The following is a 17,805-nucleotide window of genomic DNA, read 5'->3' as shown; positions in this document are numbered from 1 at the left end:
CCCCAAAGCACTGGGATTACAGGCACCACTCCCACTTTTTTACAGTGAGCCACTACTCCCATTTTTTTACAATTAATTAATGTTAGTGTAATATATATTTTTCCATTCCCTGAATTTAAACCTACCTGTTGTTATATTTGAAGTTAGTTTCTTTTAGACAGTATATAGTAGGGCCATGGTTTTTTGTTTTTTGTGGGAGGGGAGTATTCTGACAATATCTATACTGTAATTTGTGTATTTGGACTGTATACATTTAAAGTGATTAATGATATGTCAGGGCTTAAGTTTGCCATTTTAGTATTTCTTTAATCTGTTTTTTATTTGCCTTTCTAGGAGTTACTTGAACATTTTTGAGGGTGTCACCTTGGTGTTTTATTTATATGTGTTTGCATAAATCATTTTGTATAGTTTTTTTTAAGTTGTTGCTCTAGGTGTTAAAATATATACACATATTTTATTGCAGCATCCTATATTGACATTTTATCACTCAGTGACATACTGAAACACTACTTCCATTTAGGTCCCTTTACCTGTGTGTATGGGAGGAAAAAATAAACTGACTGCTTTCTCCTACTCTACTCTCATACTCAACACACTACACACTTCTGTGATCAGATACGAGAATGTTTTTCCTTATACCAAGCAATTCTCCAGCAGACACCGAGTGTGCTAAAATTTAACTCAATTCTGACACTATTTACCTAGAGATAGCATCAGATCCCGCAGGTTAAGGGCTCAGTCACACAACACTGACCCCAACTTCAGCACCAATCTCATGCCCCACATTGTCACCTATACTTCTAGCTATGAATTGGGATTTCCAAAACCCTCTCTCTAGGTTTGATAATTTGGCAGCATGGCTCACAGATCTCAAGGAAACACTTACATCTACTGGTTTATTATAAAGTATATGATAGACCGGGTGCGGTAGCTCACACCTGTAAATCCCAGCACTTTGGGAGGCTGAGATGCGTGATCACTTGAGGTCAGGAGTTTGAGACTAGCCTGGCCAACAAGATGAAAAAAAATACAAAAATTAGCCAGGCGTGGCGGTGCACGCCTGTAATCCCAGGTACTTGAGAGGCTGAGGCAGGACAATCGCTTGAACCCAGGAGGTGGAGGCTGCAGTGAGCTGGGATCATGCCACTGCACTCCAGCCTGGGTGACAGAGCGATACTCCATCTCAAAAAATAAAATAAAATAAAATTAAAGTATATGATAAAGAATACAGATCAACAGCCAGATAAGAGAATCATAGGGCGAAGTCTGTGGCAAGGGCTGCAGAGCTTCCCTGCCCGCTCTGGGTACATCATTTTCCTTGCCCCACCGTGTGTTCAGCAGCCCAGAAACTCTCTGAACCCTGTAGTTCAGGGATTTTTATGGAAGCTTCATCATGTCTACATGATCTACTATTAACCCAGTTTCCAGCTCCCCTCCCCTTCCCAGAGAATGGGAGGTGGGGCTGAAAGTTTCAAGCTTCTACTTATGGCTTGGTCTTTCTGGTCACCAGCCTCCACCTAGGAATCCACCAAGAGTTGCCTCAATAGAACAAAAGACCCTCCCATCCCCCAGGAAATTCCATGGTATTAGGAGCTCTGTGTCAGGACCTGGGCTTAAAGACCAAATATTACACTGCACTCCAGCCTGGGCGACAGAGTGAGACTCCATCTAAAAAAAAAAAAAAAAAAAAAAAAAAAAGACCAAATATTAGAACAAAAGATGCACTTGGCATGTCTTTTGCTCAGGACTTTACAATGGTTTTAGCAGCTCTGTGCGAGAAACTAGAGCCAGAGACAAATATGTATCTTTTATTACATCATGATATTGTAACCTGCCTCTCTTTTTAAGTATAATTACCTCAAGTATTTCCTCTGCATCTATTAAGCACCACAATAGATGTTGTATTTTTTGCCTCAGCTATCAAATATGAGTTAAGAAACTCATAAGGAGAAGAATAGTCTATTATATTTTCTTTTCTTTTTATCCCTTCTGTTGTTCTTTCTTTTCTGAACTTCCAGTCTTCTTTTGGCATTTCTTTTCTGTTTGGAGAGCTTCCTTTAGGCATTCTTTAAGGGTAGGACTGCTGGCCACACATTGTCTTATTTCTCCTTCATTCTTAAAATACAGTTTCACTGTATGTAGAATTCATGGTTGACAGTTCTTCTCTTTCAGCACTTGAAAAATGTTGAGCCACTTCATTCTGGCCTCCCTGGTTTCAGATGAAAAATCTGTTCTCATTCAAATTGGTATTTGCCTATAGATAATGCATTCCTCCTTGGTTGCTCTTAAGATTTTTTTCTTTCATCTTCAGAAGTTTAATTATAATGTGTTTTGGTGAGGATTTCTTTTGATCAGTCCTATTTCGGGTTCACTTAGCTTTGTGAATCTGTAGGTTTCTGTCTTTCACCAAATTTGGGAAGTTTTCAGCCCTTATGTTTTGAATACTTGTTTAGCCCTCAAATCTTTCTGGAGTCTTTCTGGGGCTCTGAATGTTAGGTCTTCTGTTATTGTCTCGTAGTTCCTTCCTTCCCTCCCATCCTCTACCTCATCCGTCTTCTCTCTGTTGATCAAATTGAATAAATTCAGTGGAATTGTCCTCAAGGTCAGTGACTTTATCTTTTGTCATCTCCACGCTACCGCTGAGCCCACCTGGTGAGTTTTTAAATTTTGTTGCTGCATGTTTCAATTCTGTGATTTCCATTTGGTTCTTTTTGTAACTTCTATTTATTTGCTGAGGTTTTCTATTTTTTCATGTTTCAAAGGATTTTATAACTGCTTACTGAAACTACATTATGGGAGTTGCTTTAAAATCTTTGCAGATAGTTCCACCATCTGATTCATCTCACTATCAATGTCAGCTGATTGCCTTTTCTCGCTCCAGTTGTGATTTTCCTGGTTCTTGGTATGACAAGTCATTTTCAATTGTATCCTGGACATTCTGCACATTATGTTACGAGACTCTTGATTCTGTATAAATCTTCTATTTTAGCAGGCAACCGCCCTGTTTAGGTTTATGGTGTCAGTTTTGCCTACTTTTGTGGGCTATAGTTTTAACGACAGTTGTGTTTTCTGAGCCTTCGCAGTGCTATTCTGGTCTGCTTTGCTCTTGGGGCTCTGCTTAAGCTCCTACTGGGTTGCTACATATGGTGCCTACAGAGGCAGAAGGCACTGCTCTAGGTTGACTGGTGTCATTATGTGGGTGTGGGGGATGCCCTAGATCGCCTTCTGCCTCTGCGTGAATGGCTGAAAGACACCAGACCTGCTGGCACTGCTTGTGCAAGTGAAGGAGCCTACCTGCTGTCACCTGGTGTGGAGCAGTAGATGACCTGGCCTGCATGGGTTTCACTGTTACCACTAATACGGGCAGATTGAGCCCCCTGCTGCTGGTGGAGATGGGATGTGAAGTGGGTTGGCCCGTTTGGATTCTTCTGTTGCCACTGCTGCAGGGATACTGGCCTGCTGCTGTCTGTGGCTGTGGAGTAGGGGAGTGGTTGGAAGCTCATTTCTGCTGGTGCTAGTGCTGTGAGCAGATTGGGTCCACCACTGCCACTGGGTGTGGCTCTCCTCACTGAGTTCTCCTTTCCTGGTCCCTTAGCCAGAGGGAGAAGACCCCTTCCCCCTTCCCCCTTCTTCCCCCTTCCTCCCCCTTCCCCCTTCCCCCTTCTTCCCCCTTCCCCCTTCCCCCTTCTTCCCCCTTCCCCCTTCCCCCTTCTTCCCCCTTCCCCCTTCTTCCCCCTTCCCTCCCCTCCCTTCCCTCTCTTTCTCTCTCCTATGCCTGTCTGTGGTTTCAGGCTGGCTGGTGTCCAGGATATATGGAAGATAAAGAAAATCCAGAAAACCAACTGTTGGGTTATTCTTCAAGTCCTGAGTCCCTAGTCCATCCATCTTCTTTCTGCCATTCAGAGTCCTTTTATGATTGCTGAATTCTTTCCGTGGTACTTGGTTGTGTTTAACAAGAAGCCAGAAAAAGTAAGTCTATAACATCTTCTCCTGAAACTGGAAGTTGCCTCAGGATTTTTACCACATGCTTGTTGGTTTAAGCCAGGGGTTCCCAACCTAGGTCTTCCAAATTCCAGCAGCTTCTTGTGTTTTGGTTGTGGGTCTAGAAGATGGTACCAAAGGGGAGAGGAAAAGCTGAACAGAAGTAAACCATGATTAAATCAAGTTTTTAAAAGTGCATGAATATGTGTGTGTGCACAATTTTCTTAAAATAATGAAGACCTTTAAATATATGGTGAAAAAGAGAGAGGAAAAAGGAGAGGGCTTGAGGATATGAGATAGTGGGAAAATAATGTGAAAATCAGGGCAGGGTTAGACATTTTTGCATACCGGGATTCTAACTAGAGCAACGGACAATTGCGCACCTGACATCCTAATGGTCCTCATGCCTTCTAGAGAAACAATGTAACAATAATTAATCAGGATCCCAGGAGGAGCTTGTAAGGGCAACCAGAAAAGTCCCACAGTTTGAATACACATTAATTACATCCTGGTGAAATAATATGTGCTTAAGGCATCTGACATTCAGCTGCAAATGCTGAAGGAAGAGGAGAAAATAACAAAGAGAGCAGGAATGCTAAACTGTGTGCCTTCGTCAGTGCACTGCCTACTGAGACAGCAGATGGAAAGGATTCACTTGGGAGGATTTGGAGAACTCTTGGTTCGGTTGCTGGTAAAACTGCTATCTCTGATGCACAGCTTTCGGGGATTTAAGAAAAAGGCAATGAGAGAATAAGGCCTTCGGGTGTTAAACAAGCAAACAGGCCTGGTCTGGTCCACAAGCATATTTGCAGAGAGAATCATCTATCCCAAAGGGGCCATCATTCAGATGGCCTTAATATGTTCTTTCTCTGACTGTGACCTTGCTCATGAGGACTGAGTTCTCAGATACACAGGGAGGGTGATTTTCCACTAGAGAAAGAAAGCAAAGTGAGAGAGAGCCATGTACTGTGAAGTGACCTGACAGAATGAGAATTGAGAGGGGAAAAGGAATAAACAAGTATTTTGAGACAAATTGCATATGCCTATAATCCCAGCACTGTGGGAGACCAAAGCAGGAAGATTACTTTTGAGACCAGGAGTTCAAGACCAGCCAAGGCAACAAAGCAGACCCTATCTCTCTCTCTCTCTCTAAAAAAAAAAAAAAAAAAAAAAAAAAAAAAAATTAGCAGGGCGTGGTAGCATGCACTTGTGGTCCCAGCTACTTGGGAGGCTGAGGCAGGAGGATTGCTTGGACCTGAGATCAAGGCTGTAGTGAGCTATGATCACGCCACTGCACTCCAGTCTGGGTAACAGAGTGAGACCTTGTCTCTAAATAAATAGTTTGAAAATTTCATACATAGAAAAGTGGAAAGAATAGTGAACCTTCATATACTCATCATCTGGATGTGATAACTTGTTAACATTTTGTCATATCTGCTTTATCTTGTTTCTGTTGAAATATATTTAAAGTAATTTACAGATGTTAAGATATTTTAGTTTAAATATTTCAATATATATTTCTAAGAAATAAGGATATTTTCTCACAAAACCACAATGCTTTTATCACATATTTATGATATCTTTCACTCTAAATTTTAAATTTGGCCAGGTGCAGTGGCTCAGACCTATAATCCCAACACTTGGGAGGCTGAGGCAGGAGAATCACTTGAGTCCAGGAGTTCAAGACCAGCCTGAGCAACACCGTGAGACCCTGATCTATTTAAAAAAATAAGTTTAAAATTTTTATGTAGTTAAAACTGTTAATCAGGCACGGTGGCTCACACTTGTGTAACCCCAGCACGTTGGGAGGCCGAGGCGGGTGGATCACCTGAGGTCAGGAGTTCAAAACCAGCCTGACCAATATGATGAAACCCTGTCTCTACTTAAAAAAAAAAAACAAAAAATGCAAAAATTAGCCAGATGTGGTGGTATGCGCCTGTAATCCCGGCTACTCAGGAGGCTGAGACAGGAGACTCAATTGAACCCGGGAGGCAGAAGTTGCAGTGAGCTGAGATCTTGCCACTGCACTCCAGCCTGGGCAGCAAGAGTGAAACTCTGTCTCAAAAAACAAAAAACTGTCAATCTTTTATTATTTCGCATTGCTATCGGTTTTAGGAAGGCCTTTCTCATGCAGGACTGTAAAAACACTTAGGTATATTGTCATCTGTAACTCTTATAGTGTTATTTTTTACATTTAGATCCTTAATCCATCTGAAGTTTTTTCTCTGTGTATAATGTGAGGTAGGGATCTCACCATTTATTGGATATTTAGGTAATTCATCCTTTACCAGCACTTAAAAATGTTAGCCATAAATTTCCATAAATTTGAACACCTATCTTATTCTCTTGCTTAAAATCCTTAAATCACTTCACATTGTTCTTAGAATAAAATTCAAATTCCTTCCCTTGGCCTAAAAAACCATAGCCTGCTTCTGAAATTCATCTACCCCTCTGCCTCTGAGGGTTGTCCTCCAGCCACATGGGACTCCCTCTATCCAGACACTTCAGCTCATCCCAGGCTGAGTTTGCACTAACTTTGCACATATTGTTCCCTCTGACTGGATGCTCCAGCCATTGTCTGCCTGGCCCTGTGACTCCTGCAGCTGAAAGCTCAAATGCCACTTCTTCAGAGTCTTCCTCACACCAGTCTGTCCAGAGTGGCCACCCCAGGCACTACCATGTCATTCTTTATTATCCCAGGGTGCTTCTCACTATTTGAAATGGACTTGCTTTTGTCCATCACCCCTCACTAGCAGGAGATCTTCCAGGTCTGGTTCACTGCTGCGGCCCTAGCTGTAGTGGAGATTTGGTCGCAGTCCTGGGATGACTACATCTAATCTGTGCTTTCCCATAGATTACATAGCACAAGCCTATATAAATATTTACAATTTAAAAGTGGATTAAATGAACAAAATTAAATTTATAATAGTGCATGTGACATACAGGTAAGTAAAAAAGTATAAAAGTGGTGTACCCAAAAATGACTAAAGCTTGGAATTCAGTAGGATGAATTACTGAGTCAAAGATATCCTCTAGGCCAGGTGCAGTGGCTCACGCCTGTAATCCTAGCACTTTGGGAGGCAGAGGCGGGTGGATCACCTGAGGTCGGGAGTTCGAGACCAGCCTGGCCAACATGGGGAAACCCCATCTCTACTAAAACTACAAAAAATCAGCTGGGCATGGTGGTGGGCACCTGTAATCCCAGCTACTCAGGATGCTGAGGCAGGAAAATCACTTGAACCTGGGAGGTGGAGGTTGCAGTAAGCCAAGATTGCGCCACTGCACTCCAGCCTGGGCGACAGAACGAAACTCCATCTCAAAAAAAAAAAAAAAATCCTTTTATAATTTTGATAGAGGTTGCCATATTCTACTGAGAAAAGCTATAGCAATTTACATTCCCACTGAGAGTCAATCGGAGCATTTTTCTCTCCGCATCGTGGCCAGCACTAGATTCCTTTTAACTTTTTACAGCCCTACAAAATGTAAGAATCAAGAAACAAAACGCAAAAACAAAGAATATCTCATTGGTGTTCAAAGTTGTAGTTCCTTATGTTTGAGTGTAGTGGCACGTGATTTCATGATCATTTTACATATATATATATATTCTATATATATTCTTAACCACCTGTTCATGTCTTTTGTCAATGCTTCCATTCGGTTGTTTTTCTAATAATTTGTACAACTTGTTTCTTGAAAAAGTTCCTCTGTTAGACGTGTTCTAAGTATTTTTCCTAGTTCTGATCTTGCGTATGGCTAGGCAGTTATTTTTATCAAATTTGTCCTTTATGGTTTTTAGGTTTTGTGTCAGTCTTAGAAAAATCTTCCCTGTTCCAATATATCTCTATATAGATATCTCTATTTAGGTATCCATATCACCTGTGTTTTATTCTAGCATTTTTGTTATTTTATTTTTTTGAGTGTTTAATCCATCTAATATTCATTTTGATATGAGAAATAAGATGGGGAATCCAGCCTTTTTCACTCTCCCTCCCCCAGTGTGGGGAGCCAGTGAATAAGAGCAGTTGCTAAAACCTCCACCTTTCCCTTATGGGTTTGCAATGCCACCTTCGCCATATACTCAATTTCCATAGGCATTTATATCTATTTATGGACTGTACTCTTTTCTTTTGTCTATGCCTTTTTTGCTGCTTTAATTACTATAGAATTAAAAATGTTTTCACATTTGAGAAGGCTAGTTCCTTCTTTTAAATTTTTTGGCTATTCATGCATGTTTAGCTTTTTAAAAGAATTTGCATTGTGGCTGCAGGGTAAAGAGAGGCAAAGGTACATATGGATTGACCAGATGGAAGTTTCTTGCAGTATTCCAGAAGAGCAATGGTGGGACACTAATGGGATATGATGGATCACCTATCCCACTTGATGTGGTTTGGCTGTGTATCCACTCAAATCTCATCTTGAATTGTAGCTCCCATAATTCCCATGTGTCATGGGAGGAACCAGGTGGGAGGTAATTGAATCATGGGGGTGGGTCTTTCTCATGCTGTTCTCATGATAGTGTTAAATAAGTCTTGCAAGATCTGATGGGTTTATAAAGGGGAGTTCCTACACAAGCTCTCTTGCCTGCCGCCATGTAAGACGTGACTTTGCTTCTCATTTGTTTTCGGCCATGATTGTGAGGCCTCCTCAGCCATGTGGAATTGTGAGTCAATTAAACATCTTTCCTGCATAAATTACCCAGTCTTGGGTATGTCTTTATAAGCAGCATAAGAACAGATTAATACACCACTGAATTCCAAACCTTAGTCATTTTCAGGTATACCACTTTTATACATTTGGACATATATGTTACCTGCACTATTATTAATTTTTAAATTAATTCAGTCCAGTTTTAAATTTCAAATACTAATATTAGGCTTGTCCTATGCAATACATCTGAAAGCATGGACTAGATGTGGTAGTTCTATTTTTCTAACATATTAAACTGAATAGATTACCAATTAAAATAAACATTGTTTTTCCATGTAGTATCTAAAATTATTTGTGCTACTAGCAGTTTGAGAAACACTGGTCACAGCAAACTGTTCTCATCGGTTCTCTACTTAAAAGGGGGCCTGGGCTGGTGGGTAATATCTGTTGCTTGATCAGGATGCTGGCTACACAGGCAGGGTGTTTGTGAAAATCATCAAGGTGTTCACTTGTATGATATATGTATGTTTCTGTGTAATCATTATTATCCAATAAAAAGTGTTAAAAGCTTTAAAAAGTTTAAAAAGCTGGCCGGGCACAGTGGCTCACACATGTAATCCTAGCACTTTGGGAGGCTGATGTGGGAGGATTGCTTGAGGTCAAGAGTTCAAGATCAACCTGGCCAACACAGCAAGATCCCATCTCTATTTTTTCAAATAAATTATTTTAAAATAAAAAAGCATGGCTCTATTGTTTTGTGCTAATTACTGGTAATAAGATCTGTTACATGGGCCTTTACATAGGTTATGCAAAGAAATAGACTAATGAAATGAGTAATAGCACATGAATTTAAGACATCGGTAGGAGTTCTCTTCTTAAGGGTTGTGATGTTTCTGCGCTCTTAGTTCTGATGTCTCACAAAGACCTGAAAAGAGCCACAGATGATATCACAGGCCAGTCATAACATGCATGAGATGGTATAATGTTGGTGAATTTATCTGTGGGGCAGAATTAGACAATAATGCCAAAGGCCAAAGCCTCAATATCCTTATCTGTTAGCCTTTATTAAAGATTCACAGAGATAAATGGAAAATGCCATCCTAACCTCACAGAGATCAAATTAAGCAGTGAGTTTGCAGGGAATCAAATATCTTGTATTGACCTGTCACAAACACTTATTCAGATGCAAGTAAACACACACCACACTCTTTTTAAACCTGAGGTGATTCTGACTTTGAGACTTCTAAACTCTCTACTTTTGGGCTATCCTCTCACCGGGCACTCTTGGCACACATATTTAAATAAAGGTTATGAAATGTTTGACACTAAAATCTCATTGCCAAATAGAAGCTGCTGCTTTCCAACATGAAGATTCAAATAACTCGTATTTTTTGTCCTTTTAAAAACAACATAAAATAATCCAGTTTCCTTCTGTGGGTAGCCATGGAGACGAACCGCAAACATTGCAGTGACTGAGTCATACTAAAAATGATAGCGTTCTTCAAGGACATCTATTAATATGCCTCTCATTAAAAAAACAATAAAGCTAGCTACCTTAAAATTTAATTGCCAGGTTTTCAATTATAAGTCCCCCTGGCTTCACGATTATTTGGGGGCCAGTTGAATAGGAAACGCCCATGGAGAAAGAAGCAGACGATTGCTTGTCAGAGGAAAACCTGAAGTCTTGTTTTCTCCAGTGTCTCTCAAGGACCTGTTCATTTCCTATTTCTATCATCTGGGTCTCCTTCCAGGAGGTGCCTCTACACTTCAATCTGGAACACTGTTTCTTACACCTAATCTCCCCAGCACTGGAAGCCTGAGTGTGAGTGTGTCATTCCTAACCTTTAAAAGGCTTCTCTCTCCATCCAAGAGTCCCTGGGATACCTTCCTGAGATGGCACACTCACTCTCAATGTATACTTTAAGGCTGACCCGTTTGCATAATCCGCTTTCTGGAAAGCTTTTGGAATCTTAGGCCAATTAAATTTCACCTCAAGTGTCTCAAAATCTAGTTGCTCAGGGCTGCCAGCTTCTTTTGTTGTTCCCCCCAACCCAAAGGCAATATAACCCTTTCTGCCAATGCAATTTGTTGAAAGCACTGCTGCGATAGGGATTAGCATGAGGCTTCCAATTGCAGCTTGAGATCCCGGTGCCAGGTGATGTAATTCTACCAACTGAGTCTCAAATGGGGGTTCAGGACACGACCCGCAGAGCGGAGCATCTGCCAGTGCAAACCTGCACTGGCTATTTAAAGAGCTCCCTGGTGAGGAAGGGCTCATGCCTGGAGGACAGGGACAAGGTGGCCAAGAAGTCCTGCTCTGGGCAAGCCTTTGCAAATGGAGCTCAGGGTGTTGGAGGCAAGGACAGGGCAGGGGTGAGGGGCCAAGCGTTCACAAGGTGACAGAGGGTGCAGGCAGGCAGAAGACAAGAGAAAGTAGGGCCCCACCTGGGCAAAGGATTATTTATTCTCTTCAAACACAACTTGACAAGGCCACGTGGCATCAGCCTAGCGTAGCATAATTGTGCTTACATATACTGTGGTGGGTGGTGCACATTTGTTACCTTCTCACCTTTCACGTTTGCAATCTGATAAAAGACAAGAGATTTTAAAAAGAATTGTGAATTTTCGCTGTTATTTTAGATTGTCCAAATGTTCCTTCCACACCCAGTTAGTATGATAAAACATGGATTTCTAGCTTTGGAGAGGAGGCAAGGGTGTGATCAAGATGTGATATACTTTTCTCAACTGTATTTCAATCTTTATATTATTTTAGGACATGTATTCTCAATGACATGGTCTCAGTTTTACAACTTGATATAATTCCTTATACCTGATTCGGTGTAGAGCTTTGTATCCTTCTAAAACCTCATCTCACAGAAGCATGTTCTCTCAGGGTGAATTCTCCCAGAAGTAGACTCTGAGTCAAGGATTCAGATATAAGAGGTTTATTAAGGAAAGGCTCCCAGAGACACCAGTAAATAAATGGGAGGGTAGGGAAAGGGATTAAGCCCAGCAAGGGTGTGATTTCATGTAATGTCCCAGCCTCAGGCCGATCTAGAGGAAAGGGAGTGCTAGAGCATAAATTACTCCTCAGAGAATGTCCTTCCTTGAGGCAAGGGAGCTGGGCTTTTGACTCGTAGCCCAGTCAGTCAGCGGCCTTGGCCAAGAGGACGGAGAACTCCCAGACCCTGCTGGCTCTCCATATGGGCTGACTGGCTCCAATACCAGGTCACAGGTGCCAGCCTTTAACCTCAAAGCACTTAATTGGGATTGGGCACACAGAGCTGGCCAGAGACCCTAGGGGATCTGGGTGGCCACCAACACTGCTGGTCATGGCACAGCACCTCCATTACTACCCTGCACACTGCCCGGCACCAGTTACAGGTCTTTCATTACATTCTGCTGCAAGAGGAAATGAGTAATATCCTTTGACAGTCCTGGGTTTGGCTTTTCATCATCCAAAGATGTACTTCCTTCCTCCAGTGGGTAGAAGTGGGTGTCCCTGGAATGCCTCTGTAAGACGGAGCAGCCGTCCCGGTTGAAGATCACCCGGGCCATTTGAAAACTGCGGAGGGCATACTTTTGGCTCTCCTGGCCTCTTAGTTGAGTGATTTTCTGAGACAGGCACTTGCAGACAGATGCAGAGAGTGAGTTTGCAGAGCCTGGCTGTGGATGACCAAACATTTCATAGAATCTATCCAGGGATTTCCGAAGGCCATCATCCTCTTCCTTCTCTGACTGGCCTTTCACAGCAGGGTCAAGCCAGAAGTTCTCAGCGGTCCAGGAGTTATTTTGTTCTATATTTAAGTTACTGGTGTCTGCAAGACAAAACGTATTCCAATACTCAAACACACAATCAAAAATATCAGAAAGCAAGCCAAGAGCAGATGATGTCTATTTTCAGTTCAACATGCTTACTGTTCCTGAGTAACTGGCAATGGGAAATATCAGCTGATTTCAAAATCTGTTCTCACCATCCTGAGGTTATGCCACTTGCTTGCTCACAACGAGAACATATTACTTGTGTGGACCAAGGATTCTTAGCCCGATGTCCCTGTATAGAAATTCAGGGTGCCTGTGAACTTGGATGTAAAAAATATACATATATATTTATTTATTTTCACTAACCACAACCTGAAATTAAGCATTTCCTCCCATGATGAATGTAGGCAGCAAACCACAGTATTAATAGCAGTACCTGTAACTTTGTCACCAATAGATCTCAGCTGTTACAGGAAAAACTTGGGACTGTAGTACCCACCCCCAAACTGGGAAGGTGCTGAAAGACCAAAGAATAACTTGGACAAGTCCAGCTTGATGAGTAGTTGAGTTTATTAGGGCTTATAACAGGGCACTCCTGGATGGCAGCAGGATAGCTCTAGAGATCCGTGCGTGTGCACGATGGGACTGTTTTCCTTGGTAGGTTCTCAGATTCTCTCCGGGATGTCTGGGTTCTCAAGGACACCTACTCCTCAGCTGGGCACCATGGCCTTGGCTCACTGCTCAGCCTTCAGGGTTCAAGCAGCAGACATACACTCTTAAGTCACCTGGTGGGGGACCCACTACACACTACAACAACTATTTTCATATCATATTATAGTATGTTGAAGGTGTTTTAAATTTTTACGCTATCACTATGCTATGGACTGAATTGTGTCCGCAAAAAATTCACGTGTTGAAGCTGTAACCCCCAACATGACTATATTTGGAGAGAGGGCTTTTTAGGAGGTAATTAAAGTTAAATGAGGTCTATAGGTAGAATCCTAATCTGAAAGGATCCTTATAAGAGGAGGAAGAGAAAAGGAGATCTCTTTTTTCTTTCTCTTTGCAAGCACTAAGGAAAAGCCATGTGAGCACACAGTGAGAAGGCGGCTGTCTACAAGCCAGGAAAGGAGCCCTCACCAGAAGCTGACCAGGCAGGCACCCTGCTCTTGGACCTCCACGCCTGACCCTGATATAAGCTTTTATAAATCACTAGCTTTGACATTTCCCTGCCCCTACGAACTCAATCAGTAGCTACAATAAACATATCTGTACTTGCCAATGCTGAAGTAAGGTGCATGGTACAGTGGGTGGAGCTTTAGGAAAGGAGGTAGGATTTTGGTTTGGGCCCTAGTTTTGCTACTAGCTGGAAATGACATCTTGGACAAGTCATACAACCTTTCTGGGCTTCAACTTTCTCAACTTTAAAATGAGGGTTTTACTAAACAATCTCTCTTCTAGAATGTCTATGGTAATGTAAAGATCAGAGAAATAGATTATCCGGAAGTTATCAGCACATTCTAAAAGAATATGGACATGTGTTCTTTGAGTCACACGCAGGCCTACACATGGACAAGCATTCATCCATTCAACACTTATTTATAGAAAGCTGATATTAAGGCAACTCATTACAAGTTGTTGAAGATAGACAGATGGATGCTGAAGATCATGTCCCTCATCTGAGGTACTTGGAATCTAAGTAGGAAGAAGAGACATCGTTACAGACATTAAACAACTGAAATATAGTCACAGGATGTACATAGATATGAAATGATGTAGTGACATTAACTGGGACACTGTGGACTCTGTGGAAACATGCAGTGCCAGGGTAGCAGAATGAGTGCATGCTCCCTCTTCAGAGGAGGTGACCTGCAATCTTATTCTGAAAGGACCACGCAATGGAGAAGCAGAGTTGATGAACAAAAGGCCAGTGGCAAGAAGAAATAGAAACTAAATGTCTCCTTGGCTGGTTCCAGTTCTCCTCCTCTGCCAACTGGCCTTTCTTCAGCAGCCTGAGACCCAGCCTGGAGGCTCAAGGAGAGAGAGAACTCAGAATGGCCAGGGGGCACCCAAAACAGAGAACACGCTTTGTAAAAAATTCGATAGCAGGGATGGTATTTCCACTACACTAGTTTCCAGAAAGCTTAAAGCTATGTCCCAGGCCCGTCTTTTTTTTTTTTTTTTTTTTTTTTTTTTTTTTTTTAAAGAATAGTAAAGAAACTTTCCTTGACCTTGCTATGCCCAGAGCTTTTACCCAAGTTCTTCCCAAGAACACTATCACTGGACTGAAGCCTCCAGGATGGGTGGAAGGGGAGGGAGACAGATGCTGGTCTCTTTCTTGTTCTGATGGCATAGAAGCAGCAGGAGAGGAGTTCTTGGCCTGTACTCTTCAGAAGTGCCAGGTTTGTGAAAACCAAGGAAGGACTGAGCTACTGTCCCAGAATGAAGGAGGCTAAAACAGCCATGACAGCCAAATGCAAAAAAAAACTTTTTTTAAACTTCATCTTTTCATTGTAAAGCACATTACTGGGGCAACTGGAGAGCTGTGAATGGGGTCTGAGGATTAGATGGTAGTAATGCATCACTGTTAATTTCTTGATTTTGATGATTTTATTGTTTTAGAAGAGAATGTCCTTGTTTGTAGAAAAATCAGGATTGGTGGCCTGATTTTTTGTGAGCAAATCTCAAATAATTCATAAAAAAGGGCTCTTTGTTTTAAAAAATTGTTGTAAAAAAATTAAAACAAACCTCTGGGGGGATAGATGTAAAAACTTCCTTTGCTGGCCTACTTTAATATCAAGCAACCAAATAAGAAGCCTTAGCTTGGGTAATTGCCTAACAAATGATGCTGCTGTTAGAAAGCTGAAGGGAGAAGGAGAGGGAATGGGGTCCCGTGATGGCAGGATGAAGGGTCCCTTCCTACCTTCTTACCCGCAGATGACCTTGTCCTGGGTAGGGGTTGGGAGGTGGTGGCTGGAAGACAGAAGCTGGGAAGGGCCAATGGGGTGGGTGGGAGAGAGCGGGGGATGCCCACCAACAACACTGGGAAAGTTGAACCCTCAAAACTGTCCACGTACAATAGAAAACGCCAAGCAACATGGCACGTACTTGGTAAGTAAATTGTCAATGTGCTTTGATATGCAGGATTTAAAATTTTCATCTGTGTTTCATTTAATTTAAAAATTTTGAAATCCAGTGTCCACAAAAGAGGCTAAAAGCTAGCTGTCTCCTATACTTTTCATGCACATGTCAGGCAGTCTGCCAGTCGTCTTCAGAGAAACAACCCTTCCCCTTCAGAAGACCAATGACATACGGGTTGAGTCATTTACTATGTCAGTTATTTTGAATGCTGCCTGCAGTCCATTTCAGTTTTTGATTTCCTTTTAAAATTTGCTTTACTACCAACTATAAAGCCTCCTCTCTAATCATAAGGCTGTTGTAGCTTTTGGATGTCACCATTTCTTTGCCAGCAAATGTAGCTAATTGCTTTTCCTTTCCTGATGTGTCCATGTGTGGAAAGAATGATGGTACTAGTCAGTTCGTGCTCAGTGATGCATCCTCCCAGTTACGTTCAAACCCCACCTTATTCTCTCTGTTGGTATATTCCAACCTTGTAGAGCTGTCAAAGGGGGATAGCAACGTCTTCAGGGAGAGTCTAGGGATGTTTTTGTGTCAGGGATTGCAAAGTGCTACTTGCATTTAGTGAGTGGGGTCAAGGATGTAAACATTCTACAGTGCACAGGACAAACAAAGAATGGTCCATCTCCCAAATACCAATAATGTCCCCCTGCCCCTCACCCCTCCCCTGGGTCAAAGGATGGATCTTGAAAGGAGTGGGAACTCAATGTTGACTCCCGCTGCACTGTAATATGTTGATTTGCCTTGAGCTCCCTAAGAGACTTTTGCTGTTGGTCCCCATTCCCTGCACAGCACCCTTCTTGCTGGTACCTATTCGAGTTACACATTTTCCCTTCTCAGACCATGAGATGGCTTTTTTACCCCACAACAATGGTTGAGGGGGAAAACCATTGGCCCTGGTCCCAGTGATTCTGGTATTATTTAAATTGAATGGAACTTGCCTTTTTATATATTTTCCATCATGAATAGGATTTCTTTAGAAATTTACAAGAAGAAAAGGAGGAGGGCAGGGCTTGATATCACAATGCTTTTGCATGCATCCAATTGTTAAATTTTCTCTTTGCCAACAAGAAAAGAGATAACATATAGATACTTCAGATTCCTTTTGAGGTGAAGTCTTACTCTGTCACCCAAGCTGGAGTGCAGTGGCATGATCTCAACTCACTGCAGCCTCCACCTCCTGGGCTCAAATGATCCTCTCACCTCAGCCACCCGAGTAGCTGGGACCACAGGTGTGTGCCACCATGCCTGGCTAATTTTTTGTATTTTTGGTAGAGATGGGGTTTTGCCATGTTGGCCAGGCTGGTCTCGAACTCCTGGCCTCAAGTGATTTGCTCACCTTGGCCTTCCAAAGTGCTAGGATTATAGGCATGAGCCACCACGCTCAGCCTGATACTTGAGATTGTTATACACCTAAAAATATTTTTATATATTTAGGAGTTGTAGGTGCTTATTTGAATTCAGAAGACAGTCAACTGGCATGGAGCACTTGAGATTAATAGTTGTGTTCTGCAAGAGATGCCATTAGCCTTTAGAAACCCAGATATCTAATGAGGGATTCTTCCAGAGAACTTTCCATGGCTATTTCTGTGGTTCATAAATGCACAGCAGGGTTTCATCTCCGTGAAACATTTTTGCCTTCAACTGTAACAAGTTTCTACTAAATAGATTTGATATTTAGAATTCTGCCTTCTGCATGCATCTGAATCAATAGCCACCCACCCACCCTGCTTGATTGTCCAGAGTTTCTTTTACTAGCAATTGCTGATTAAGAGGACCTATGTATGGTTTCAAGGAGGTTACAGAGCTGAAAGAAATCTAAGACTTTTTTTTTTTTTTTTTTGAGATGGAGTCTCACTCTGTCGCCCAGGCTGGAGTGCAGTGGCGCGATCTTGGCTCACTGCAACCTCTGCCTCCGGGGTTCAAGTGATTCTCCTGCCTCAGCCTCCTGGCTAGCTGGCACTACAGGCACCCGCCACCATGCCCGGCTAATTTTTTGTATTTTCAGTAGAGACGGGGTTTCACCGTGTTAGCCGGGATGGTCTCGATCTCCTGACCTCGTGATCCACCTGCCTTGGCCTCCCAAAGTGTTAGAATTACAGGCGTGAGCCAGGGCACCTGGTTTTTTTTTTAGACAGGGTTTTGCTCTGTTGTCCCCAGGTTGGAGTGCCATGGCGCAACACAGCTCACTGCCTGAGCCCACCTTCTGGGCTCAGGCGATCCTCCCACCTCAGTCCTGAGTAGCTGGGTCTACAGGTGCATGCCACCAGGTCCGGC

At 42.4% G+C, this 17,805-nt stretch overlaps 1 protein-coding gene across 5 annotated transcripts in view; it reads right to left on the bottom strand.

Moving 5' to 3' along the window:
• Positions 1–11,074: 11,074 nt before the first annotated feature.
• SHLD1 (shieldin complex subunit 1) overlaps positions 11,075–17,805 on the bottom strand; it is a 114,203-nt gene continuing 107,472 nt past the window's right edge. For all 5 annotated transcript variants that reach the window (XM_011529177.3, XM_047439931.1, NM_001303477.2 and 2 more), the window contains one exon: positions 11,075–12,446. In XM_011529177.3, coding sequence (XP_011527479.1) covers positions 12,007–12,446 — 440 coding nt within the window. In that variant the 3' untranslated portion in view covers positions 11,075–12,006. The remainder of the gene's footprint in view (positions 12,447–17,805) is intronic.

This window comes from Homo sapiens, chromosome 20 (genome assembly GCF_000001405.40).
Source record: "Homo sapiens chromosome 20, GRCh38.p14 Primary Assembly".
Lineage (NCBI taxonomy): Eukaryota > Metazoa > Chordata > Mammalia > Primates > Hominidae > Homo > Homo sapiens.
This window is presented reverse-complemented; position numbering and strand designations above follow the sequence as displayed.